This window comes from Homo sapiens, chromosome 18 (assembly GCF_000001405.40).
Source record: "Homo sapiens chromosome 18, GRCh38.p14 Primary Assembly".
NCBI classification, from domain to species: domain Eukaryota; kingdom Metazoa; phylum Chordata; class Mammalia; order Primates; family Hominidae; genus Homo; species Homo sapiens.
Window position 1 is genome coordinate 47,407,965 of NC_000018.10, and position 26,578 is coordinate 47,434,542.

The following is a 26,578-nucleotide window of genomic DNA, read 5'->3' on the forward strand; positions in this document are numbered from 1 at the left end:
CCCCCCCTTGGCCTGAGGACTGCCAGGCTTTCTCCCAAGTCAAACAGTGGCACAGCTGGACTGTTCTGATGCCCCAAATTTTTGATGTCAGTGTTTCAAATCTTTGCAAGCAGGTAGGCGCCAACAGAGGGAAAGGCACAGTGGGTTGGAGTTCCTGCCCCCGTCCACTTGCTCCTCCATCCCTGTTAAAGGAGACTCCTTCACCAGCGTAGCTGGAGTGCTTTGGGCTGCACAACACAGAAACGCAATGACTTAAGTCTTGAAAATATACAAGTTTTTTTTTTCTTAAAATAAAAAATACATTGGCAACTAGAATTAACAGCTTGGGCCAGAGTGCTGACTATTCAAGACAGGAAGAAAGAGGCGTCCCCAGTAGGCATCTGCTGATGTCTCAGTGTCTAGACCAGGTCTTGTGATTGCTAGTTGCAAAGGAGGCAAGAAAGCTTGATGCTGTGGGTGGGTACCTGAGAAGGGGAAGGGGAAGGGGGTGGAGGTTAGGCAGGAATAGTTTGTTGCAAGTGATAAAACCAAAAGAGAAATCACTTGGCTCCTATAACTAAATGTCAGGAAAGCCAGGGTGTGGCTGGGCCTCACGTGCTGCCAGGGCTGGTTCTCACACACTCCAGAGCTCAGCTTTGCATTTCTCTGTAAGTTGGCTTGTGCCTCTCAGGTAGGCTTCCTCTTCTATCTAGTGGAAACATAGTCTGCCATGGCTTCCAGAGAGAGGTCTTTGTCTCTAATTCCAAGCTGAAAATCTCAGGGAGGGTCTCTGGCCTGACCTGGGTTCTGTGGCTACCCATGGGCCATTCAACCCTGGCCAGAGGAGGGTGTCTGTGGTCAAGTGGTGGTGGGGTCATGATGCCCCCACTGGATGTACAGGTTAGAGGTGGGGCATAGGAGGAGCATTCATAACAAGAGGGAGGAGGGATTAGCAGACCAAGCAGTGCTTGTCCTGATACCAGAGCCACAAGAGACCACAGAGAGCATGGACTCCAGAGAGGTGAGGGAACTTGGCCTACATCACACAGCAAGTTAGTGGAGGACCTGGGCCTACAACCCTGGCTTCACACTCCTTCTTTACTCTGTTGACATTTGGAGCCGAATAGTTCTTGGCTGGGGGGGGACTATCCTGCACATTATAGGATGTTCACCCCGAGCACTGCTTCTGACCAGCAATGTTTCCTGGCTGCAGAGAGCTACTTAATCTCATGGGGCCTAGTGTTTTCAATGGCACTAACAATAACTACCTGCCTACCTTAGAAAGGGAGTTAAAAAAATAGAAGGTTTACAAATACTAGTTATGAAAATCATTTGCAAAGATAAAGGCAGGATAGAAATGCGGGCCTTTTTTAAACAAAAAACCAGGAATCCCTGATTCCACTTTATGCCAGAGAAAATGGCAGAGAATGGTTGTGTAAGTGTGAGTGTGTGTGCGTGTGAATAATCACTTCTCCCTAAGGAATAAGAAACTCTTCCACCAAATTGATACACAGTAAGAAACTCTATACCTGGTAGGTGAAGACACCAGGGTGGGCGTGAAGGGTCTGTTCCAGCTTCCTCTCATTAATCCCTAGTGTAACCATTTGTGGCCTAAGAATCAACCTCCGAAAAGGAGGTGCAGCTTCCAGTGTGCTTGGAATGCAGCACACAGCCACCCACAGCTTCACCAGGACCCCGACGTACTGACTTCCACTCGCCTATGACTTCTTCAACCCCAAAGCGAGGTCATTTTGCCAAGAAAACCAACAATCCCATCAGCCAGCCAACAGGGGCCCTGGGCTGTGGAGGGTGATGCAAAACAATGGTTTTCAATAAGGGGCAATTAAGCCCCTGCAGGGGACATTTAGGACACCTGCCTTTGCAGGGGCCAGGCCAGGCTGGAGGCCTAATTTTTTTTTTTTTTTTTGAGAAGGAGTCTCGCTCTGTTGCCCAGGCTGGAGTTCAGTGGCGCTATCTCAGCTCACTGCAACCTTTGCCTCCCAGGTTCAAGTGATTCTTCTGCCTCAGCCTCCTGAGTAGCTGGGAATACAGGCATCTGCCACCATGACCAGCTAATTTTTGTATTTTTAGTAGAGATGGGGTTTCACCATATTGGCCAGGCTGGTCTTGAACTCCTGACCTCAGGTGATCTGCCCGCCTCTGCCTCCCAAAGTGCTGGGATTACAGGAAGTGAGCCACCGCGCCCGGCCCTGTGGGCTGTTTTCATCCAGGTTGTAGGTAGATACAGACCCTGGGATAGCAGTGCCTGGGGGTCTCTCTGGGCAGAGATGTCGGGTCAAATGGACATGACCTCTTGCTTGGAGGACTGGGCCAGGCCCCTGGAGGAGCCAAGAGAGGAGGCCTTTCAGGAACTGATTGGCCAGTGTGGGGAGAACATGAATTAACACCTGTAATCCCTCATGGGCTGGAGCCTGTGCCTGGGTGGTATTGTGAGATACTGGCATGGGGCCTGGTACCCAAGGATCACTTCCTGGAAGACACAGTGTTGGGACCGGGCCTTTGAAAGCCTTATGATGACTGCACGTGGACCAGAGACTCCAGCCTTGGGGTCCCTTTTTTGACCCAGCTCCACAGCTCCCCTAGGAGGGGAGGCTGGCGGTCTGAGCAGCCTGGCCTTGCTCTGTCCTGACCAAGGTGGGAGAAAAGTCCTGGGAGTTTGCAAGAGGAACTTGCACTAAAAAGAAAAGAGCATAGGGGGACACAAGCCATCCTCGTCCCCCTGCATTAGAGGAGAGATGGGACGGATTTGCTGTAGTCAGGACAGTTTCAAGGGCTTGTGTGGGGCAGAAAGAACCTGAGCGGAGGCCACGTTTATGAGGAAAGATGGAAGCCTGGTAAAGAGCCCAGGGGTGAAGCAGCATCACAGGAACCTCCCTGTCTCTTCCCTTTCCTCTCTGCAGGCTAGCTTACTGCCCCGGGCCCCACACAGACAGGAGGGGGTTGGGGTCGTGCCCAGGTACGAAGTTGGTGGGAGCTCTGTCACTGACAGTGCTTTCCTTCTCATAGGTGCTCCCATTAAGATAACACTGTTCATGTCAAATCTCTTGCTTCAATCTGAAGGTTCTGGGTTTCTGTTTGGTGTCTTTGGTCTTCATCAATATTGTCACATATTTACCCCATATTCTGCTGAAGGGAATTCAACAAGAACTAGGCATGTGCCCAGCCTGGAGGAGTGGGCTGTAGGAAAGAGAAACTATGGTATCTACTTTCATTAAGGTACAAGGCTGATACATGAGAAACAATATTAAAAACTGTTATCAGGAGTTGAGTAAAACATATTAAGTGAATTATCAATGAAGGAGAACTTGTGTGCTTTATTTGAAATTAAGTCAGTGTTGTGGTCTTATCTATCCTGGAGGGCTTCCTGGAGGAGGTGAAGTGGGAAGGCTTTCATTTCAGTGGGAGGAAGTTTAAGCACAAGGCAGGGCAAATCCTGGCACGGGGCAGGTGTGACTGCTGGACAGCCATCCTGGTGTAGCTGGTAAGATTTTGCACAAGCATGTCCCATGTGTCTGTACTGCCAGCCACACCTCTCTGGCCTCTGCAGGAGGTGGCTGATAGACTGATTTGCCATGGAAGCTTTCCCTGGGGCCATTACCTGCAACCACATTTCTTTAGGAACAACCTCCCCAGCAATTTCATTTCTGCTCAAGGTTGTGCTTTCACACTAGGCTGAGTTTCCATCCACCTGCAAGTGTTCTTCCCCTTTCCCATTTCACGCTCCTGTCCCTAAATAATGTTTGCTTTTTCTATTAATAGGACTGTCTTGATTGTGACTGGTCCAGCTGACCTTTCTCCAGTTTCCTATTCCAGAATGGTGCTGCCTGACTCTCTTAGCACCGTCTACTCTTCAGTCATTTATTCCACATGTGGTTATATAGCTCTTGCTGTTTAGAGACTACAAAAAAAAAAAAAAAAAAGAAAAGAAAAAAAGGTGTAAAATACAGTCCCAGGCCTCTGGTAGCTGAGAGTCTAGCTGGGAAGTCAAGACAGATGCTCACATGGGAATGATCTAAGCAGGCAACGGAGTGCCTTTTGGATGCCCAGGTGCACTGCCCATATGTGTGTTTGTTCCCTGCTCAGAGAAGGGAGAGAGCCCAGGGCTGGGTAAACCTTGGAAATCTTCATGGAGGAGGAGGTAGGAGCTCAGTGAGTTGTAATATTTTCCCAGGAAGTAGATCCTGCAGGCTTGAACTCTCTTGCTTCCAATTCATAATTTCTTAGTTCATCAAGAAGAGACAAGGGCACAGGAAGACAGTGTTAGCGGGTTTGCCACCCACTTATTCCCCCAGCCTCATGCCCACCCTCTTTTCCAGAGGCAGGTGGGTCTCCACCGTCTTTACTGCCCACCCTGGGACTGTATTTTACACCTTTTTTTTTTTGTAGCTCAATTTGGGTGGCACATTTCCTCCTGGCTCCATTTCTACACCAGATTCAGATTTGCCTCTGTATCTTTGCTTATCTGGTTCTTCCAGGTGGGATATCTTTCCGTTCTCTAATAACTGTAGTAGATTTTTAAAAATTTGCCTTCTTCCCACACACCCCTGCGCCCTCCATACACACTTCCTTGCCTGAATGATGTTAGGCTTGTCTATGTGACTTGCTTTGACTTCACGGTGGACAAAGTGTGTACCTCACCTCCCTTCCTTCCTTTATTAAATGCGTGGCCATCTGATTTGCTTTGGCCAATGGGACGTTAGCAGATAAGACGTTAACATGCCCCTTGTGTTTTGCTGTGGTCATAAGAACTTGTTTCAACTGGCCAGCTGGTGCAAGGAGGATGAGAAACCAATGTGGGCACCTGGACCCGACCTGCAGCTTTGAGCCAAGGGTCCAGCCTGGATCAATGAGAGTAGGTGATTGCTGTTTTAAGCCTCTGAGTTTTGTGATGGTTTGTTATGCAGCATTAATGTGGTAATAGATGACTGGTACAACCACTGGTGCAGAAATTCTCCTTTTCTCATTACTTAGGGGCCAAAGTTGCTTCCTTCAGGAGGTCCTCCCAGATTGGTCATGCCTAAATCTCTCTTTCTTAATCTGCTCCATGCCTCTCTAACTCTCATTGACTCTGCCTTTTTTTATGAGTGTACTCTCTTGTCATCTCTCATGTGAGCTTCTTGCCTTGTAACTGTGCTGTGAGCTTGAGAGGGCTGGACATGTCTCTTTCCTGTCACTGTGTCACCATAGAAGCCAGATATATAGAAAGCTCTCAGAGCTACACAATGCCTAAAGAAAAGAAAAGAAAAGAAAAGAAAAGAAAAGAAAAGAAAAGCATACACTACCTCTGACATCCCCGGGATTCTTCCCTGGAGACTGGCTTGGGTTCCAGTATCACTAAAGCATTTAGTAATTAGCCTGTGTTTCCAGAATGTCCAGAGGCAATTAGGTGCAGGCTGGATTCCACAGGTGTGGCATCCAGGGGACAGTCAGGGATGCCCTGGTGCACTTGGCCTGCCGACCTCACTGGCCACCTGAGTTTCAACAAAGCTGTTTCCACTGCTGGACTAATTCCCAGGAAATGTCATGTACTTGGAGTTCCTGGGCTCCATGCCCATCTCTATAGAGAACTAACCATATCCTGGGCAGTAAAGCTGCGGGTGTTCTCTGAGGAGGCTGGTTTCTCAAAATACTCATCCAACTGCTCCTCCTCTGGACACTCCCCTCCCTGGCCCATGCTGTTCCTTTTGCTGGGTTATTCCCCACTCCCTCATGCACACACATCCATGCCTGCCTGAGGTCTCCTCAGCCCACCAGGCCACTTCCTCTGAGAAACCTTCTTCTCAATTCCAGGCAGAATTCATTTCTTCATTCCCAGGTACTCCCATAACCCTTGACTTATTCACCTTTGTGGGCACTGGAAACGACATCATATGCTAGATATTTGCATAAACCCTTTTAGGCCCTCTAGACTGCGACTTGTACCAGGGCAGAGGTGATGGTTGATTCATCCCTGAGCGCCCTCCATCCTTAGTGTACGTCCTTGGTACAAGGGGCAAAGAGCAATGGTGAAATCTTAAGTGAGAAGATGAGATGCAATGAGAAATGAGATAGGCTCCATAGACACTTTGAAGACTTGAGGATGGTGGAAATCACAAAGATCTCTGGCATGCTCAAGGGATGTCACTTTGTAGATGGTGGAAAGGGCTAAAAATATAGCTTCCCAGAGAGCTGAGATGAATTCCTGGATGGGAATTATTGAAAGATGCTGACTGTCAAGGGGATAACCCCTCCTGCCTTCAGAGCCTGGGCCAAGACTGGCCTTTCTGAGGATGCCTGTGGCAGAGTTCTGGATTGCCAAGTGGTGTGGAGGTTGGAGAAGGAGGGCTGCCACGGGGGCCAGCCGTGTTCAGGTAAAGGCCGGTCACTGGGGCTGATTTGGAATCCTAGAATGTAAGGTAACTGGGAGGAGCCTAAGGACCATTAGGGAAGAGTCTCATTTACAGATGAGGAAACTGGAGCCCAGGAGTGAAATGTGTCGCTTCAGCTCACCCAGCTGAAATAGTGCTAGAACCAGGGCTAGAATGCAGGTCTGCAGAACTGTGTGAAAACATTTCTGAAATGGTGACAGGACTGAATAGGACTCATGGGACATGGGCAAGTGGTTGGGAAAAAGGATGAGGTCAACCTATGTCAGATGCCCACTCCCTGGTCAGCCTCCTCCACAGAGCACAGCTGCTTGTGCACCTCCAGTGCCTTCTGCCACAGTTGAGGCTGGCCCTGGGTGCTTGAGAAGTACACACTAAGGCTGGACATTTTCATATCTCTTTCTTCTGCCTTTCTCTTTTGCTCTCCCTCCTGAGCACCATCCCCACCCCCCGCCTTCTGCCTCCAACATATTGAATCACCAGGGTGTGAAATATAATAAAGCATTGTACCATTCAATCTGTCGGCTATTCCTTAAAGGTGTACTCCAGGTAAATATCCCCTTGGCCTGTGAAAAATGAGCTTACCTGCAACAAATGACTTTGATGAACCTCAGGAACTGGCCCTCTATCATTCTTTTCCAATTGGCTTCCCCAGACAAGCATGATTTCCCTGCACAAATGTGTCTTGCTGAAGGAAGAGTTTCTCTAATTCACTTTCCTTCCAATGCCCAGCTTCTTTGCTTGGGCATCCCTTTATCCAGCCACCACTCTCAGAGATGTCTTTCTTCTAGAAGCTGGGAACTCATGCAGTCATCAAATGCTTCACCAGGTTGATCAAAATCAGAACCCAAATTAATCAGTCCATCCATGAACACTCATTGGGTGTGGCAGCGTGGAAATGGACTGAACCTGGATTTGTGAAATGGGTGTCCCCTTATCTCCACCACTTCCCAGCTCTGTATCTCACTTGCCTCACCTGTGAAGCAGGACAGATAATAACACCTGGTCTTCTTCCTTCACAGGAGCGTCTGAGTAGCAAACACATTTCTCCACGTGAAAATGCTCCAAAAAGTATACATCACTATATAAACACAACGTTTACTATTATTATTGTCATCTAAATTCTTTAGGGGGTGAAAGAAAAGTTTGGTCATTATTTCATTAAAACGTTATTCAACAAATATATTCTGAGTGCCTACTATGTGCCAGCCATTGGGCAAAACAGTTGGGGTATTTGAGGGAGTAAAAGGGACAAAATTCCTGCTCCCACGGAATTTGATTATATTTCCTTATGATCTAGTTGAGATGACAAAACCCACATGCGTAAGAGCCAACTGTAGAACAAAAAGGCATATTGTATGTTGGTGAACTAAATAATGCATTTTAACTTACAACTTCCAATTACCTGAGTACCTAGTATGCTATCATGTGTAATTTTATTTAATTCTCAAACAACTCTGCAGGCTAAGCATTTTTATAGTGAAACCTGAGGCTTGGGGAGGAAATACTTTTTCTGAAGTCCCAGAGGAGAACTGGGAGGGAGGCTTGGGGTTGTTGGATTCCTTGGGGCTTCTTTTTGTCCACCCTAGTTCTCCCAGCCTTGGGTCTGCACTGTGAACTTGCTCTTCAGTTTCAGGAATTGACAGTGCTCAGAGTGCTATGGTGATAGGAAGCAACTTCAAAGAAGAAGTTGCCTCCTACTTGGCTTTGAAGGATAGGAAGAATTTGCATCAGCATGGTGGGCGGATGGGAGAGTTTCTGATAGTGCTGGCAGTGGGGGTGTGTGAACCACTCAAGTGGGAGGCAACTTGAGGGAGGACGGAGGAGACACTGCTGGCTGGATGGGAGGCAGAGATGGAGAGCGAGGTTAGACAGAACCAGACGATGCAGGGGCTCAAAATTAAGACTGAGGAACATTCCTGTCCAGAGACACAAAGTGGAGAGAATTTTCCTGTGAAAACAAGAGGTATACCTTCTCGCTGCTTAAGGATTTCACAGCTCTCTACCCAGAAAGCTTGGCTATGCTGCCATAACTGAGTGAGGTCGGGTGATTAATAGCCTTCCTGTGGGCCTTAGTTTCCCTCATCTGTAAGAGGAAGGTGTTAGAAGAGAGAAATGCTGAGGCTTCTTCTAACTCTGAGATGTCTTGATTTTGTGATTCCATAATGAACTCAAAAACATGTACGTATGCCATCACAGCCACGTACCTGTGAGGGCTTTTTTCCTTCTCTGCCGCTGTAATTTTAGATAAGTGCCAAATGCCTCTTTATTCTCAAATATAAAAACATCGAGAAGATTAAGCCACAGCCTGTCTCATAATAATCTGGGCATCCAATTCCAGCTTTCTGATGAAAACATCACTGTTATAAGAAAATTGAAAAGTTTAATATTTGCAAAAACAAACAAATAATCCTCCCCCCACCCCCATCCTTGAATAAGGCTGAATGTTTTCGGTGACTTCATATTTCTCTTCCCAGTTTTTTGATACATGGAGCTTTATTTGTGGATTTTTTGGGATTTTGGAGACATGCTGTGATTACAGTCCTCATTTGGGTCTAACCTGTCCTTTGAGGATGGACCCTGGGTCAGAATCAGGTGACAGATCTGTGGCCTCCATAGGAGGTTGAATCTCCATGTGGGATATTACAAAAGAACTTGCACAGTTCAGGTTAGTCACAAAACTAATTTGAGCCACTTGATGGACTTACACAAAATGCTGATGATGGTGATACTGATGAAACACATTTAGTGCTGCTTATGTGCCAGACACGGTGCTAAGCACTTTACTTGCCTTAATTCACCTAATCCTCCCAGCAATCCTCTGAAGTGAGTGCTACTGTTACTCTCATTTTGCAGAGGAGGAAACTGAGGACCGACCGGCAAGGTTAAGAAACTTGCCCAAGGCTACACAGGTAGTCAGCCCTATAATTGAATCTGAATCCCACAGTCTGGCTTCAGAGCACTGGTCTCCCATGGTGCTTTACTGTCTTGCAAGGATTTAGGCGGCTGCTGTTGGGAACCAATTCCCACCCCTCATTCTCACTCATCCTCTCTGGTTTTTTCTTCATTCTCCAAGCAGACCCACCTCACACAATAAACTGAATGACTTATCATTTGGGGATCTGACCAACAGACACCCACTTCTACTGATATTGGGCACCTACTTGTGCCAAGTGCTAGGGATGCCAAGATGAGGAAGATAGGCTCCTTCCCTGGGGATTTCATGCACGAGTAAGGAGCCAAGAGGCAGCAATGGCACAGTGTGCTGGGAGGACACTGGGCCCAGGGGAGGGAGTGGCGTTACTTACAGGAGGCAGTGCAGAACAGGGGACTTCTCATTCCCTCTTCTCTTCTCCCGGATATCCCCTTTCCTTCTTACCAGCAGACCTGCGAACCCATGGGTTCCTCCAACTTGAGGGGCAAAGTGTACCTTTTCTGTGCTCCCCACAGAAAGCCCCGTGACTTTCTTTTCTCTTTTCCTCTGGCACCTCTTTTTGGTGGCCTTCTGTATTTTTTCTCACTCTTTTGTGGCCAGTGTTCATTGCTGTCCTGTTCTGATGCTCTGATACTGAGTACCAGGGCAGCTCTGGCTAGAACCACCTCTTAGCATCGCCAGATGAGTCAAACTGTAAACCAGGAAACTTTAGCTGAAGTGGGTGTATTAGTAAGCATTCTCCTGAGAAACAGAACCAATCGTGTGTGTGTGTGTGTGTGCATGTGTGTGTGGTATGTGTGTGTGTGTGTGCATGTGTATGTGGTGTGTGTGTGTGTGCATTTGTATGTGGTGTGTGTGTGTGTGTGCATGTGTATGTGGTATGTGTGTGTGTGTGTATTTATTTTCAGGAATTGGCTCATGCAATTATGGAGATTGAGTAGTCCCAAGATCTGCACTTGGCAAACTACAGACCCAGGAGAGCAGACTTTGTAAGTTCCAGTGTGAAAGCCAGCAGGCTCGAGACCCATGAAGAGCCAATGTTTCAGTCCAAGCCTGAAGGCTGGAAAAGGTCAGTATCCCAGCTCACACAGGCAGCTGAGGTTCCCTCTTACCCAGCCTTTCTCTTCTGTTCAGGTCTTCAGTTGATTGAATGAGGCACACCTACAGTAGGGAGGGCAACCTGCTTTTCCCAGAATTTACTTATGGAAACGTTAATCTCCTCCAGAAATAGTCCTTGAATGCTCTGCCCCTTTGGGGTTGCTGGAGTAATAGGCATTTCTCAGTGTCACACGTGGCTTTCATGATTCAGTGGCAAGAAAAGTAGGCAAGGAATTCAGGAGGTTGGTTTGAATCTTAACTCTGACACCTTCCCTCCCCAGCTGGAAAACTCTAGGACTCTCCTGTGCTCCCATTAAACTTTCCTCGTTGGAGAGAGAAGTAGAAAATGCAGCCTCCCACATGCCAGGGAGAGGGAGTGGTCTCCTGAAGGGGAGGGGAGGTTGAATTTCTGGGATGTAATGTCAGAAAATCCCCTGTTGTCACAGATCTAAGGCTGCATCTTCCAGTCTGGCAATGATGAAGCCCATTCTCCCTCTGCTGGGCTCAGCTGCTTCTGAGTCATCTGTCTCAGAAGAGAAGTATTATTTATTGACCTCTAAAATCTCGTTAGGAGTCACTTCCTAAGTAAAGCAGAGGACAAGAGCCAAACCCTTTCAAAGTAGTGTTACTCATAGTGAATTTACAAATCACCCCCATTTCACAGATAAAGAAACTGAGACCCAGTTGGGGAAAATAAATAATTGGCTCAATATTCCCAACAGCCCTCTGGAATTGGCATTACTTTCCGATTTTACCAATGCAAAGCCAGTAAGAGGAAGCGCATACCACAGTTGGTGGCACAGCTGAGATTTGAACAGGCCTCTGGAATCCTTTGCGTACTTTTCTTTCTTTCTGTCACGCTGTGGGAGCCACATGTGTAAGCTATATGAAAAAGAGAAGGAGGAGGATGAAGAGGAGATAGGGGGAAGGAGGAGGGGGAACAAAACAGGAATCCAAACCTTAGGCTAAAGGAAGGACTCTCAGATGATAACCCTGATGGCAGGTGGGGGTGGAGAACAATCTGAAACCCCAGAAATAATTCCACATTTCAACCTGTAAGTAAAGTGGGCGTTAGACCCTCTCTTCCCTTTCTTTTCCCTTCTCCTTTTCTTCCTCTGGGAGACACTGTCTGTTGCCTTTCCAGCAGCTATTCTATTTCATCCGTGCTAAAAAAAAAAAAATCCATTTCATACCTGCTTAAAAAAAAAGGTATTCCAATATGGGAGTGGTCATTGTCCAGATAATGGTTGGAGCTGTGGGCTTGGAGAGGATTACTCGGGGAAAGGGCTGAACAGTGTGAAGAGGTGGCACCCAGATGACAAGAAATTAAGATTTGATGGAAGCTGAAAAATTGCAGGTGTGAAAAATATTTCCCCTGACAGAAAAAAGTGATTTTTGGCACTAGATGGAGAAGGTGCTGGGAAAGGTATTTTCAAACTGGAAGCCCACTGAGCATGCTTTGGGATTATAACAGTAACTAAAGCAGCTCACATTGGCCATTTGATGTCCCTAGTCTAAGTGTTTTATAGGGAGTATTTCATTTCTTCCTAAAAACTGTGTGAAGCAGGTGCTATTATTCCAGTTTTCAGAAGTGGAAATGGAGGCTCTGAGAGTTTAATAGCCTGCCCAGCTACTAAGCAATAGAGCAGGGTTTAAATCTGTGCAGTGTGACTCTACAGAAGGGGAAAGAGCAAGTAGGGAGGGAGAGATGGCAAGTACTAGAGAGCTTGGGGATGATTGATCTAGCAAAGTTCTGGAAGAGATGGAAAGGGATGGGATCAATAGTCCAGGTGGAGGGATGCACCTTGGCAAAGTAAAAGAATATGTCTTCCTTTGAGACAGGAGGGCGGATGAAAGGATGGATGATAATAATTCACGGAGTCTCTGGGGCGGAGGGAAGAAAGTCAAGGCAGTGCATATTACATGACCTTGGTCTTCACAGGAAAGTCGTGAGCAACCCACATAAGTAAAGCTGTCCTCTTTCTCACTTCCTCTTTTTTCTTTCTTGCCCAACCCCTCTTCTTGCTTTAACACAGAAGAAACAACCCAGGTTATACTCTTTCATCTAAACTGGACATTTATTTGTAAATGAGGGATTGGGCTGTTGTTGAATAAACAGGGGATAAGTTAAAAGAGATTGCTTGAAGAAGGATTCTGGGAGTTAACAATGGCTGTGGACATGTGAAGGAATAGAAGAGGTAAGCACTGTTTTGATTTTATTACCAGGATTGAGGTGGAATGCAAATCTCGGTGAGCCATGAGAGGTGAGTTGCACTGCTCCCGAGGAGAAGGGAAACAGTAACGTGGAGTCCACGAGCTTGGGGTCTGGAGCTAGAGGAGACTTTTGTTGTGGATGGATTGGAAAGCAGAGATCTTTTTAAACTTAGCTTTAAAAAAATCAAATTAATGTATGGTGATGACAAAAACTTGGAAAGTACTGAAATGTAGGAAAAGGAGAGAAAAACCACTTCAGAAAATTATGATTGATATTTTGTGATTTTTCTTTTAGTGTCTTTTCTATGCATTAAAAGTTGAAATTCCACCACGTCAAGCTTTTACTGTATAATTGTATTACAAGGATTTTCCCCATGTTATTACAAACTTCTATTAAACATATATATTAAAAATAGGGATAAGTAATTAAAATTACTGGTATTTAATTTGGTCACATGTTTCCTCTATGTAAACCTGCTTCTTAATTGCTGTCGAGCAATCCTTCATATGGATCCACTGTGTTTATTTAGCTATTCCCCTAATGATGGACAGCAGGTTGTTTCTGGTGATTTTCTTTGGTGTTAATGGCCTGAGGAACATCTTCATGCACAGACCTTTGCTTGCAGTTTGATTATTTCCTTAAGATAGGTAATTAGAAGCAAAATCACTGGGGTGAAAAGTGTGACTACTTTAAAGATTGCTTTCTAGAAGGATTGCTTGTGTCCATTTACATCCCACCCACAGGGGCAGGCAGAGAGTGCAAGCCTCAGGAGGGCCCAGATTCTGGGAGGTCAGGGTCAGGAAGGACAGCCCAGCAGGCTCATTGGGACTGTGAACTTGGAACCTGTGCAGAGGCTATTTGCTGGTTGTTCTGCTCTGGTTATGAGGGGCTCTCTATCAGGTGTTTGTTCTGAGCACAAGGTTAGAGACCCATGGTGAGTCCTGCCCCAGCTGGAAGTCAAAACAGGGGTGCTGGGGCTGTGTTTGCAAGTCTAAACATGGGGTGGGGGTGGGGGAGTGGCAAACCGAGAAAGCCACCTCACCCTGACAAATGTACCATCACTGTAGCAGCTCTTTCTTCCATAGTCATAAACCTGAAAAATCTAATGAATTCGAGGAAGCCTGTCCCTCCCTGGACACAGACACACACACACACACACACACACACACACACACACACACACCCTTCGATTTCAAGGGACTCATTGATCCACAGGGGTCTCAGGGTTGATGAACACTGTTAAGAACATCGGCTTTAGAGACCATTAGCAGTTGGGGCCTTCTTTCCAGATAGCTTAGCACCTTGGGGACCCTTTTACATACTAGAAATTTCAAGCCACATTCAGGATAACTGTAAGGGCCAGAGTCTGGCCTTTTCAGACAAAACTCCTGCATCAATAACTTCTTAAAGCCTATTGGGGGAAAAACTCTAATTCTCAATAGTAGGGGTTAGACAAGGTGTCTGGATGGCTTAACAAGCTGGGAGAGAGTTCATGGGAGAGAAAACATACACACATTCACACACATATATTCCCAGAGACACACAGACTCTCGCACAGGTACACACACTCTCACATGCATCATTCTCTCATACCTAGACACACACACACTCACACACATATATATTCCTAGAGACACACATGCTTTGACATACAAGCACACATACATATGTCCCTTCTCACATGCACACATGCATACACGTGTGTGCACACACACACACAGCCCTAGGACCCAGTCCTCTACTGCCTCAGGCTCAGTCCTGGGACCTTCCCTTTTCTCCTTCACTTGGTGTTGGCCTAGATCCTCCTCCCACTCTCTTTTTCTCCCACCCAATGGTAAATATACTCACCTGACTTCGAGCGAATATAAAAGTACAGGAGGAAAGTGGTAGATAAATTTAACAAGCATTAAAGTTAATATATAATTTAAATATGTATAAAATTATTCCATGTATCGATTAGAAAATGGGCTGTTGACCATTTCAAGGCAACAATCAATTTCAGAGTTCACAGGTCAGGTCAAGTTTCTTTCTAATGATCTAAGAAAGAAGGCAGCATTAGAGGGATAATGAACTCCAAGACTTACAGATGCGATCTATGGCTAGTGGCCACCCAGCGGCAGCCCGGGCTGGCTGCAGAGGGAGTTATCCCATAGGTCTGTGTAAAAGCCTGGCTGGGTAACAGCCCATGATGTAATCAAGGCAGTCTCTGGGATGACTGGCGTTTTTTTTTTTTTTTTTTTTTTTTTTTTTTTTTTTAAAAAAAAAAGACCAAGTGATTGTCGAAGCTCTTGGTTGTCAATGGGCAGCTGTGGTGGAACCCCATTAATGTGGTTTGTGCAGAGAGCTTCTCCTTTTCTGGGAAGTGGAAACAGGCCCAGCCAGCACTGTTAATCACCTGGCCTGAAAGGGAGCTGGGCAGGCTTAGAGGAGGGTGCAGACCAAGGGGACGTGACCTCACTGCTGGTCTGTTCCAGGGGCTTGGCCACATACAACTTGTTAACAAGCAGGGATCCCCCAAATCACTGGGTGGTTCTGCAGCTGAAAGCAGAAAACTTTGCCCATGGGTATCCCTGGGTCTCTTTGTAGAACTGAGAGAGACCAAGGTTTGGGGGGAGGGGCAGTAGAAGGGGTAGAATGGGACATTTGGCTCAGAGAAAGTGTAAAGTGAAGGTGTGTTGAGTCGCTAAGGATGGCCCCCACATAACCTCAAATTCTCTTCCTACACTGGGAGTGCATGGGGAACCAACCTGGCTCCTGGCCTGGAACCAGATTGGGAACCGGATCGGGAAGTGGATCTGCCTTCTGATCACTTCCACCTTATGACCAAATGGCCAACAGACTCCAAAGGCCAGAGACACCAGGTCCCAGAGTTTCCATTTTTCATCCTGAGAGGAAAAAGGCTTTGAGATTTTTTGACCTAGTGAGGTATGTTAAAAAATGTCCACTCAACTCAGTACACCAGAGTTGGTTCAGTCCCTGTTATTATTTGAGGGGCAATGGAGAAGGGAGTCCCATCCTCAAAATAACCTCTCAGGTGGCCTGTTCTTGGTGACTAAAAGTCCACCCTTTGAGACACATTCATTTCATGAAGCTTCACATTCTCTTTCTTTTAAGATCTAAATATGCCCTGCAGGTGAGTGGTCTACCAGTTCAGTGTCGGTGGTTAATCTGGTGATAAGTGGTCCGGAAAAGGAGGGAGAAATGACAGATTAGCTGGCTTCTATTCCTTGGTGTGGACAGGGGCCGCTCTTCAAACTTGAGGGTCCGTTGAGGGGTTTGCACTGGCCCTGAGCCTCTGGCAAAGTTCCTCTGGGAATGAGTGAGGGAAGTGGAGAGGGAGAAAGGAGGAAAGAGAGAGAAAGAGGGAGAGGAAAGGAGGGGAGAGGTAAGAAAAGGGAGCTGCCCCTAAATTGCCTTGACCATTCTCAAACCTCCACGCCTCTGTGCATGCTGTTCCCAGGCCCATCCTTCTGCCCCATTTCCCTGCTGTCCATTTAGAAAACTCCTGGTCTTTCAGGCCTTCCCTCTGCTGTGGAGGGGTTCCCAAGTGTTCCCTCCACACCCCCCAGCATTAACAATCCACTCTCTACACTCCCACAGTGCCCTGTACATGGATGTACCAGACTAAACTGTACCAATGAGTTTGTTCCACTCCATACTTGGTTGGAAGGAAGAACCTGTCTTTTCACCTTGGTGCCTCTGGTATGCTCAGTATATGGGTTCCCCAAGAAAGGTGCTTAAGTGTTGAATTGAATGCAAGTGGACAGCCAGATGCTGGGCTCATTCCATTCCATGGATGCCCAGCCAGACCTGGGTGAGCAGATCACACCCAGGGAGGCCAGAATTGAGGGGAGTTTCTGAGAGAGAGTGAAGGAAGGGGCTGGGCTGTTCCTAGAAGGCCATGGCCGAGGCCCTGTGGGGGTGCAGAGAAGGGATTGTTAGTGCTGGGGGGTGGAGGGAACATTCAGGAACACCTCCACAGCAGAGAAGACGCCTGAAAGAAGACCAGGAGTTTTCTAAACAGACAGGGAAATGTGGCAGCAGGAAGGGCCCAGAACAGATATGGAAAGGCATGGAAATATGAAAGTGGCCAGGGCAGTTTGGGGGTGGCTCCCTTTTCCTACCTCTCCCCTCCTTTCCTCTCCCCATTTCTCCCTCCCTTCTCCCTTCTTCTCCTTCTCCACTGGCTGTTTCTAGAAGGCCAGGCCCATCTCTCTGCAAGCATTTTCTGAAGGATGGAATGAGGCTATAAACACCAAGGTGAGTTTTATTGGGGAAGAAGAACATAAAAGAACAGCCCTTGGTGTGTGGGGCAGAAGGAGGGGCCATCTCTCCTCTTCTATCCTGAGGACTGCAGCAGGGATGGCAGGGCTAAGTTTACAGGCTTGTTGGATATCGCGATGTCTAGAGGATTCCCAGCTTTCCCCCTTGTTCCACTTGGCAAAGCCTCCTTCCACCTCTCGCTGTCCTCTTTAGCTGCTGCCCTGCATGTGGGCCCAAGAGGCCTCAGCATTTCAGGCTCTTGCCATAAGGGGCAACTCTGACCCTGGAATGCACACCTAGTTCAGTCCCTACAAGACAGGCCCAATAGCATACGGAGGGAAGTGTGGGGAGACAAGGAAGTTTCTGATATTGAAAATGCTAGAAGTCAACATCCCCTAGGAAGGCCATTTGGAAACAGTGGTTACAGAAGATGTGATATCAGGACACCATGGAGGAACGGGTTGTCAAAGTTCTGTGGAGAGCGGCACCCTTGTCCTGGTCTTTCTCCCAGGCTTGCCACCCCTCCGAGTTCAGCTGCATTGGAGGCTGTTGATGGCACCCCTCCTTCCAGCACTGCTAGGGAGACGTGCTCAGTGCTAAATGATGACTATGTACCCCCTGCAGTGGTGGGCAAGGCAGATGCCAAGTGGCTTGGATTGACTTTGGTCATCATCACGGGAGGTGTAAAGAACAACCACACAAACAGGTCTGTAACAATGTCCTCTTTCTTCCCTTCATTAATCTCGTGAGGAGGAGGGAGGAAGAGAGCGAGTGCAGCTATGCAATGTACATACATTACTGAATTAACCAGGAATGTAATTAGCGCTCAGGTGCTCAGCAGAGGAAGAACCACTCACGATTAGTCAAATTTTGCTTGAATGTCCTGAAGTTGGGGGAGCTGCCTTGGTGTCCCCCACTCTCCAGCACCCCCTCCCTGCTTCCCCTCTCTCATGTTCATGGAATGTGATGTTTGGGGCATTTGCAGATGTTTATGGAAATTTATGTGACTGTTCCTAATGTCATAAATCATATTCTGACAAGAAAAGTCCATGATCCCGGTAGTAAGATATCAAGGAGCCTGTTGTGGAAGCAGTTGGCCTCCTCTCTATTTCAGAATCTTACAGGAATGAGATGGAGATGAACGCTGTTATTAATTAAATGTTAATTGGGCCTTGGTTATAAAGCCATCTTTGCAGTCTGTGTGAGGCATTTGTCTACAAGGTGATGCTGTGTTACAAGTACGGTAAGAAAACTATGAGCTCTCAGATGTGAGGCCTAAAGATGAGGTTCTGGCCTTGGTCTTTCTCTCAGCCTTAACTCCTACAACTTCTTGGTAAAAATTGTCCTGACAAACAAAACAATTTGCCATCTGAGAGCATAGCTTGCCTTTTTTGGCCATCCCTGTCATTACTCTGTTTTTGAAATACTCCTGCTCACCAGCCCAGTTCACAAGTCCAGTTCAAAGCTCATCTCTGCCATGAGGCCTTCTCTACCAAGTGCTTTTGTGGAAGGAACTCCAGGAACCTGGAGGGTAAGACTTCACCTTCCCAGTCACAAAATGGGGTGGACTTTATTGCCTCCACTGCCAGGCCAGTTTTACTCTAGGTCAGCATAGCGGTACCACTGGAACCACCAGCCAGGGAAAGGCCATCTGGGAAGTTACGCATGAGGAAAGGAATGGGAACAAATGGGGATGGGAAAGGCAAGGCTTAGGGTTGGCCTACAGTTTCTAGGCCAGCATACAACTTTGCCAGCTTCAGACATTTGAACTTGAATTAGAACTATAGGTGTGTTGCCTTGAAAAGATGGCAGCTGGTGACAACAGGCTTATTTCTAGAGCATAGATATTCTTAAATCAGCTTTGTGCTACTTATTGGCATGCATTTTTTTTTTTTTTTTTTGAGATGGAGTCTCGCTCTGTCACCCAGGCTGGAGTGCAGTGGTGCGATCTTGGCTCACTGCAAGCTCCACCTCCTGGGTTCATGCCATTCTCCTGCCTCAGCCTCCTGGGTAGCTGGGACTACAGGTGCCCGCCACCATGCCTGGCTAACTTTTGTATTTTTAGTGGAGACGGAGTTTCACCATACTAGCCAGGATGGTCTTGATCTCCTGACCTCGTGATCCACCCGCCTAGGCCTCCCAAAGTGCTGGGATTACAGGCGTGAGCCACTGTGCCTGGCCCTGGCATGCATTTTTATATGTTCACCTCTAAGGGATTTCATATGCTTTTATGTGTGTTTGGCCTATCTCCCTATTGAAATTATTCAGAGTTGGGGTTCTGTAAGCTTCATGGGTTTGGTCCAGAATGCTGGTGTTCAGAATTTTTTGTGTATTGACATGGATTCTGCATGCCATGCTATTCCAGCTCAGTCTTCTCTCTTTCAGCCTGCTCTGAGGTTAGGGCTAGAAGCAAGAAGTGATTAGACAGCATCAGTGATGCAAGATGACCTCACCCTATGCAAAATAATGCCATGCATACCCTACCATATCTGTGTCTTTTTAGAAGTATCTGGTTTTATTTTTGTTTTTTCAGAGGCAGGGTCTCATTCTGTTACCCAGGCTGGAGTGCAGTGGCACAATCATGGCTTAATGTAGGCTTGATCTCCTGGGCTCAACTGATCCTTCCACCTCAGCCTCCTGAGTAGCTGGGACTGTAGGCACATACCATCACACCCGGCTAATTTTTTTTTTTTTGATGGGGTTTCGCCATGTTGCCCAGGCCGATCTTGAACTCCCGGGTTCAAGAGATCCTCCTGTCTTGGCCTCCCAAAGTGCTGGAATTACGGGCTGTGGGCCACCACATCTGGGCTAGAAGTACCTGGTTTTAGAGCAGTTTAATTTCACTTTTTCCTGAGACCCTGGTATTTGAATCCTATCAGAAAATTTCAGTGAGTTTTATGATGCAGAGTCTTCCCCTATCCCTATTTTCTCAGTTATAACTGGCAGCTTCTATTCTATTTTGCTTTTATGCAATACCATACCAACAGAGTTTCAGGGCACCTTAGGATAAGCCATGTCTCTAAGCCTCATGTCTCTGAGCAGTGTGTGCCAAAAGTTTATTGTTTGGGTACTCATTGATGGCCCTGGTCTCCCATTCTTGAATCTTCTCCTTTTGATAAAACAAGCTCTTCAATTAAAAACATCCTCCAGACACCGAGACGGCTGTTCATTCTCCATTCAGCAGCTGCAAAGCTGGAGGAGGAGAGGGAAGGGTTGGGGAAATGGCTGAGGCCCATAACTTAATTCCTGTGCATTAGCCCTGCCCTGTATTCGCCCTTTCCAATCTTGGCTTCTCTGCTGGTGAAACAAGCAGGATTAGCGCGTGATAAGAGAAGCTGGGGTCATAATTACACCCTATGCGATGGGGCAGCACAACCACCAAATAAATCCCTGGACAATTATTAAAATGGCCCAATGCATTACACAAATTAGAACAGGCTGGGACTTTTTGGGAGGAGGGAGGGGAGTGAAGACCCAGTATTTAAGTGTTCTTGTAAGCCATCTAAGATATTAATGTTGCAAAGCTCCTTATGAATATTTAAGAACATAAAATGGAGCTTCGCTGCAGCCCCATATCACCACAGAAGCCTGTAATACAGCTGAGTCCACTTAAGAAGTAGAGCCTATGTCCTCGGCAGATTGAAGCCAGATGAAGCAGGGCTGCCCGTTTGTGGTGGAATGCTCCTCACAGACCAATTTAATGAGGTTGCCTTATAACTCACAGAAGAGGAGTTAGTTAAAGACTCGAACAACTTTGATGGGTGGGACTCCCTCATGATGGTAGCCCATTTCCCCCACTCCTCAAGGATTTTAAGGGACTGACACAGAACTGACGAAGTCTTTATTTACCCATTCCGTTCAAGTCTCAGTTACACATAACCCTCTTAGAACCAGACACGTGGGACCCCTTGGCTCGCTGGGCAGTGTTTCTCAGAGCTGCATTTGGGGCAGCTGATTCTTCACAGGGGGCAATTAGCTCCAAGTTCTTATAAGGAGTGAATGAAGTCTCCTGGATAAAAGAGACGGCTGCTCTGGTGGGAGAAGGGTCATATTCTGAAATCAAGTTAGATGGTGTCTTTCCCAGGACTGGCCCTGGTGCATCTTTATATTGGGAATGGGGGAGTGGACTCTTGTAAGGTGGCTGGAGACATCAAGTCAGCAGGACACAGGGAGGATGATGGACAAAACCTCCGGGGCCTTGAGTTCTGGCTTCAGCTTAGCCATGTTCTTACTTTCCCGCTTTTTACACATCTGTCAAATGGGAATAAAATTCCTGGGAAGTCTGATCATTAATGGAATAATAGATCTAGGTACACTTGGGAAGAAGGGTACTATAGAATGTGATGTTAGTATTATTTCTATTTTTACTTGTATTTGATAGCGGTTCTGCTTTACACCCTTCAGAGCTTCTCTGACTTCGTTCTGCCTCCAGATAAAGGAAAAGAAGGAAATGATCCTATCCCTGATCACTGACTCCCTTCCCCACTTCCAGGCTTCTGGCTGCCTCTTTCAGAGTTAGGGAAACCCCAAGGGAAGTAGACCCCATAACTTCTGTGGGAACCCTCAGGTGCGGAGGCCTTTGAGAAGGTAGAGCAAGTCTCTGCCTGCACAGAGGGATCTGAAAACTCCAAACAACCTTCTTTATGACACAGAGATGTTGGGGTGGGGGAGGAAAGGAAGACTCCACACCTCCTAGGGTTCCAGGCCCTAGCTGTAGGGAAGAGAATATAGCATGAGGGGTAGACAGACAGACAGACAGCCTGTATGCAGGGGAAAGGAAGCCTAGCCACAGAATGTTCTTTGCTTTCAGGGTACTCCCCATAGTCCAGGAGGAGAGCAGCACTTGTCCAGCCAAGCCTGGCTTTTCACATTGCATGGTGCCCATAGCACACACAAGAATATGAATTGGCAGTACATGTATTTTCTCAGAAGCTAATAACAACAATTCCTTGATCTCATTATTTTTCAAACTTTGATAATGATAGCTACTATATATTGAGACACCACACAAGCATCCTGAGAGCTAGAGCTAGGTATTATTATCTCTGCTTGACACATAGAGCTCAGGGAAGTCAGGCTCTCATTGATAGCCTCTCTCTCTCTCTTTCTCTCTTTCTGTCTCTCCCCTATCTTTTCTCTGTCTCTATCTGAAGGTTTCAAGTACATACACAAAGGTATCGTCATCTCAAGAAGGATTTTCTCTCTGGCCCAGACCCTTTGACACCCACTGCTAGCCCTCATGGACACCTTCAGCCTGGCTTAACTATGAAAGAATCTATAAGCTATTAATTATAGCTTTATTAAAACTCAACAAATCTAGCCCTAAAAAGACAGCTGACATGGGTTTAGGTCATATCTTCTTACTAGCTGTGTGACCTTGTACAACTTATCCTCTTTAAGCCTCAGTTTCCTCATGGAAGAAGGGGTGGGAGACAAATAAGAGTACCCACCTCTGGCTTAACATGAGGATTCTGTGAGACAATGCCTGGAAAGGGCTTGGTACATGGCACAGATTCTGTGTGCATGACGTGGTAGTTACCATCATCATCTTCATCACAGGTCTGAGATTCCTCTTGCAGAGACTCATTCCACTGAGAATTTAAAACTCAGACACCTGGGGGGAACAGATTGCATATGAGGCCTTTATCTTCCAACAGTGTTATAAGTCCAGCAGCATGCAATGTAGACCAGATGCCTTCCATGGTCCATGTCAATGCTGGGCTTTTCTAATTCTATTAAGTATCTTAGGGTGATGGGGACCTTGTAGGAAGGGGGCACACATGATGTGTCTAGAGACATAGGAAGGAGGTGTCAAGAAGGAAAAGAAAGCCTACAGCAAGGACAGAATAATCTTTAGGAGGACCATGTTTCTGTAGGTTTCTGGGCCAGTCTTATTCTTTGCATAGTGGGTTCTTTGGATTGTTTTCATTAGCTGTCTGAGGCAAATGTTTCCAAATCTGACTTTTCCCTGAGTAACAGGTAACTTACAAATACCATCAATCAACCTCTCGATATTACCATTAATTAATGTTTGTTAGCCATGAGGCAAAATACTTTGTCATTTAACCCCTGCTCACAATAACTATCATCCTTACGTTGCAATTGCAGAAACAAAGGCTTGAAGTCACACAGTTGGGAAGTGGTGGCACTGAATTTGAAACCAGACAGTCTGAATCTAGAGCTGTACCTAGGTGATACACCCTTTACAAATGTTTCTGAGATTGTGATGCTTTCAGCCTGGCCCTGGCTCCAAATTCACCTTGCAGTTGTAGAATACATGTGGTCCCTTTCCTCTACACACTTACCACTCAAAAACATTTAGTATATACCTGTGGGCCAGGTACTGATGTAGTCTCTGTTAGAAAAGATGCTGCTGACTCATCATCACTAGGGCTTAAAGGAGGGTTGCATTGGGGTTTGTGTTGGGACATCCACATTCTCTCGACTCCCCCTTAACTGGGGGCTTGCATACATTTATAGGATGCATCAGAGACACAGTCTGGAGCCAGCGATCAGAGGGTTTCTCTTTTCATGTGAAACTAACTGGCTTCCAGGTACAACGATAATTCCCTGAGGATTACAGGATCACAGAATTATGGAGCTGGAAGAGTCTTTGATCTCATCAGCATTTCGACTAACTGAGCTGAACGGGCCATGTGAGGAAGACAGCAAAAACAAACACCAGCAGAGCAAAGGCACTTACATGCCTGCCGTGTGTGGCTCCTTCACTCTTGCTTAGGAAACCTTTGTCTTTCTCCTTTTGCTGTCTAAACCAGATCTTATTCTTTTTCATGAGATCTTTTGTCTATTTTAGCCCTCACTTGTTTCCTTTTCCTTTGAATGCAAGGGGCACTTATAATCTGTAGACACCCACATTATTGTATTCTTTTGGTGTTCTCTAATTGTTTTATGTGTAAGAGTTTTGTTTCTACTAGGTATCTAGGATGGTGAGTGCTTTGAGAAATGGGGTTGTGTTCACCAGCTTAGTGCCTGAAACACAATACTCAGTAAATATTGGCTGGTTTAAGAAATGAATGAATGGAGAGAAAGTATGTCTTCCCTTGAATTCCGCATTGAGCCTAGCACAGGACTGAGCACCTGATGGATACATGGTGGTTCATTGATAATACTGACCCTGCACAAATAAATTCTTTTTAAAAAATTACTTTAAGGCAACCTTCCAGTACCTAGATATGATGGAGAGTGCCACACAGGTCCTGGTATGGCCTCTAAGGTGCTGTGCTTTTCATCAAGAGAAGTATATGTCACAGTATGCTCTTGGAAAGAGATGTGGCTTCCTGACAGGCTCGGTGGATTTAGGAAAAAATAAACCTTGAAGCAGGAATGCAGTCATTTCTGGGGGCTCCCCTAGAATCCCATGAGGGACATCAAACCAACCCATGGTAACTAGAAAATCATGGAGTCTTCCAGGTGGACTTCAAAGTTGATTGATTTTAGTGGCTTCCTAACCATTTTTTTGTTAAAGCTGTAGATCTTATCCTCAAATGAAAGCTGTAAGTTGAATTTGAAGTTTCTCTGATTAAAGTGGAGCATAGGGCCCAGAACCTTATATTCTTAGCTTCTAGAGGGGCTCTGAGAATCTCCTAGAGCTTCTTGGAGAACACTTTGAGAACCACATTGGTGACTGTAGGGGACAAGTGTTATTCATTTTGGTGACCCAGAATCTAAACTGGCTTTTCATTTTGGGGAAATATAATTTTAAGTGAAGCCGAATTTATGGATATGGGTACATTTATCAGAGATATTAGATTCAACATGCTGGCTCAAGTATCTGAGATTTCTAAGTATCTTCTCAGATGGCTTACTGAAACCTGCTAATGGCTCATAAGGAATCAAGATGCCAGAAAACTCTTGATATAATGTAAAGAACCAAAAAAAGCTAGGAAGGTTAACATGGGTTTATCCTGTGTAACCTGTGTAATTTATCCATGTATAACCTGCTCACACACCCTTAACTGTATTACCTAAGAGGTATCTGAAGATGCTTCCTTTACCAAAGCACTGAGAAATACTACAATGGGGAGGGCCAACATCTTTGATGAGTGCCATAAGGGCTGTGACTTTATGCTGAGAGTGCTGTGGCTGAAATGGGATCCCTGATTTCACAGGGGATGCCAGGATCCTCAGGGAAGAAACCAAGGAGTGACAATTGTAAAACCTCCAGAGGCAAGGTGGTACATGCATTATTTAATGTTCTTAATTGCATCAGAATCCATGCTGGCTAAACAGAAAAGAGATTTTATAAAAGGATATGAGGTAGTACACAAGATGCCTTTGAACAAAGCCCGTGGCTGTGGGGCAGCTTTAGTGAGACGCTGCCACCCCCTGGCACTGGTAACACTCAGGACTGGATGCCTGAGCTCTGCACTCTCCCCCTTACATAGCTGGCGGTCTCTACCACTGTGCTTGCTAGGTATCAGTTCCACTGCGTTTAGCTTCCTCTTCATCTTGCTCACTTCCAAGTCTGATTTTCACATAGATGTGTCTGATTTTTCAGAATCTAAGTCACATACCTATAACCTAATTGCAAGGGAATATGAGAACTTTTAGCTAGGCATTTTACTGCACTACAAAAAAAAATGCATTTCGGTTAACAAGGAAAAAGTGGGGAATGGCCATTGGGTAAGCAGCTAAGAATGCCCAATACTTCATGGTTCCATAATAAGCAGCAGACTAGTTTGCTAATTAGAATGGTCTGGATCCATAGGGATCTTAGGGATGGCTAATTGATTATGAGGTCTTTGCACTGAAATATATGGACAGTCTCCTAAGATCATTCTTGGTCCATAGAGTCAAAACAAACAAACAAACAACAAACACTAGACCTAGAGGACAAAGCCGTCTTTGAGTCACCAAGTATAGAGAATAATTGCTCCTTGTTCAATTTCTAAACTGAAGCCATAGACCCAGAGCCCACAGGAAAAAGGAGAGGCTAGATACTTTTGGGGAAGAACCCTGAAATTAAATCAAATGTATATACTGCAAATCCTACTCCTGACTGTCTTTAAAGAGATCTGGGGCAATTTACCAAGGTAACAATGGCTTGGGGGAAATAGGATCTATACCTTTTAGATCTTTCATTGACTTTGGTTGGATCCAGTATACCACTTTGGTTCACTGATCAGGAGGGGAACCTTGTAGGGGTCAGATGATAAATTTTGAAATCATAGTTGGCCTAGTAGTCTCCAAGCCATTCTATGTTATTTTTCTCAGTTCCTGACTATATGGTTGGAATGGATATGTTCAGTACAAGGCAGAATTGTCTCCCTGATTTTCTAAAAGATTTCTATGTTAGAAAGTGCCAAATGAAAGACTTAAAGTAGTAAACCAAAGGCAATACCTTGTCTCCAGGGGATATCACTGAAGCCATCAGAGACTTGGAAGGTGCAGATATTGTGATTTTTATCACAACCCCATTTTGATCACTTATTTGTCCCTTGCAGAAAGTGGAGATATCCTGAAAAATGGTAGTAGATTATTATAAATGTGATGAAGTGGCCTCCAATGACAGCTACTCCAGATATAGCCACTTTACTGGAGCAAATAACTCAGCTCTTGACACTTACGCTGCAGCTATTTATATGGCAAGTGGTTTTTTTAAAAATATAGTTTCAATAGAAAGACAATTTGCTTTCACCTGGCAAGGATTGCAATATACTTTATTGCTCTGGCTCCCCATCT

At 46.0% G+C, this 26,578-nt stretch overlaps 1 long non-coding RNA gene across 1 annotated transcript in view, besides 2 other annotated features; it reads left to right on the plus strand.

The window, feature by feature from the left end:
* MIR4527HG (MIR4527 host gene) overlaps nucleotides 1-26,578 on the plus strand; it is a 308,827-nt gene that overhangs the window by 122,241 nt on the left and 160,008 nt on the right. The window lies entirely within an intron of this gene.
* Nucleotides 1,273-1,773: an enhancer, noted in NCBI's record as "OCT4-NANOG-H3K4me1 hESC enhancer chr18:44935608-44936108 (GRCh37/hg19 assembly coordinates)". NCBI's record gives its function as "activates a minimal SCP1, AML or CMV promoter by ChIP-STARR-seq in primed H9 embryonic stem cells {active_cell/tissue: H9 hESC(primed)}" and the evidence as "EXISTENCE:reporter gene assay evidence [ECO:0000049][PMID:30033119]".
* Nucleotides 1,774-2,274: an enhancer, noted in NCBI's record as "OCT4-NANOG-H3K4me1 hESC enhancer chr18:44936109-44936609 (GRCh37/hg19 assembly coordinates)". NCBI's record gives its function as "activates a minimal SCP1, AML or CMV promoter by ChIP-STARR-seq in primed H9 embryonic stem cells {active_cell/tissue: H9 hESC(primed)}" and the evidence as "EXISTENCE:reporter gene assay evidence [ECO:0000049][PMID:30033119]".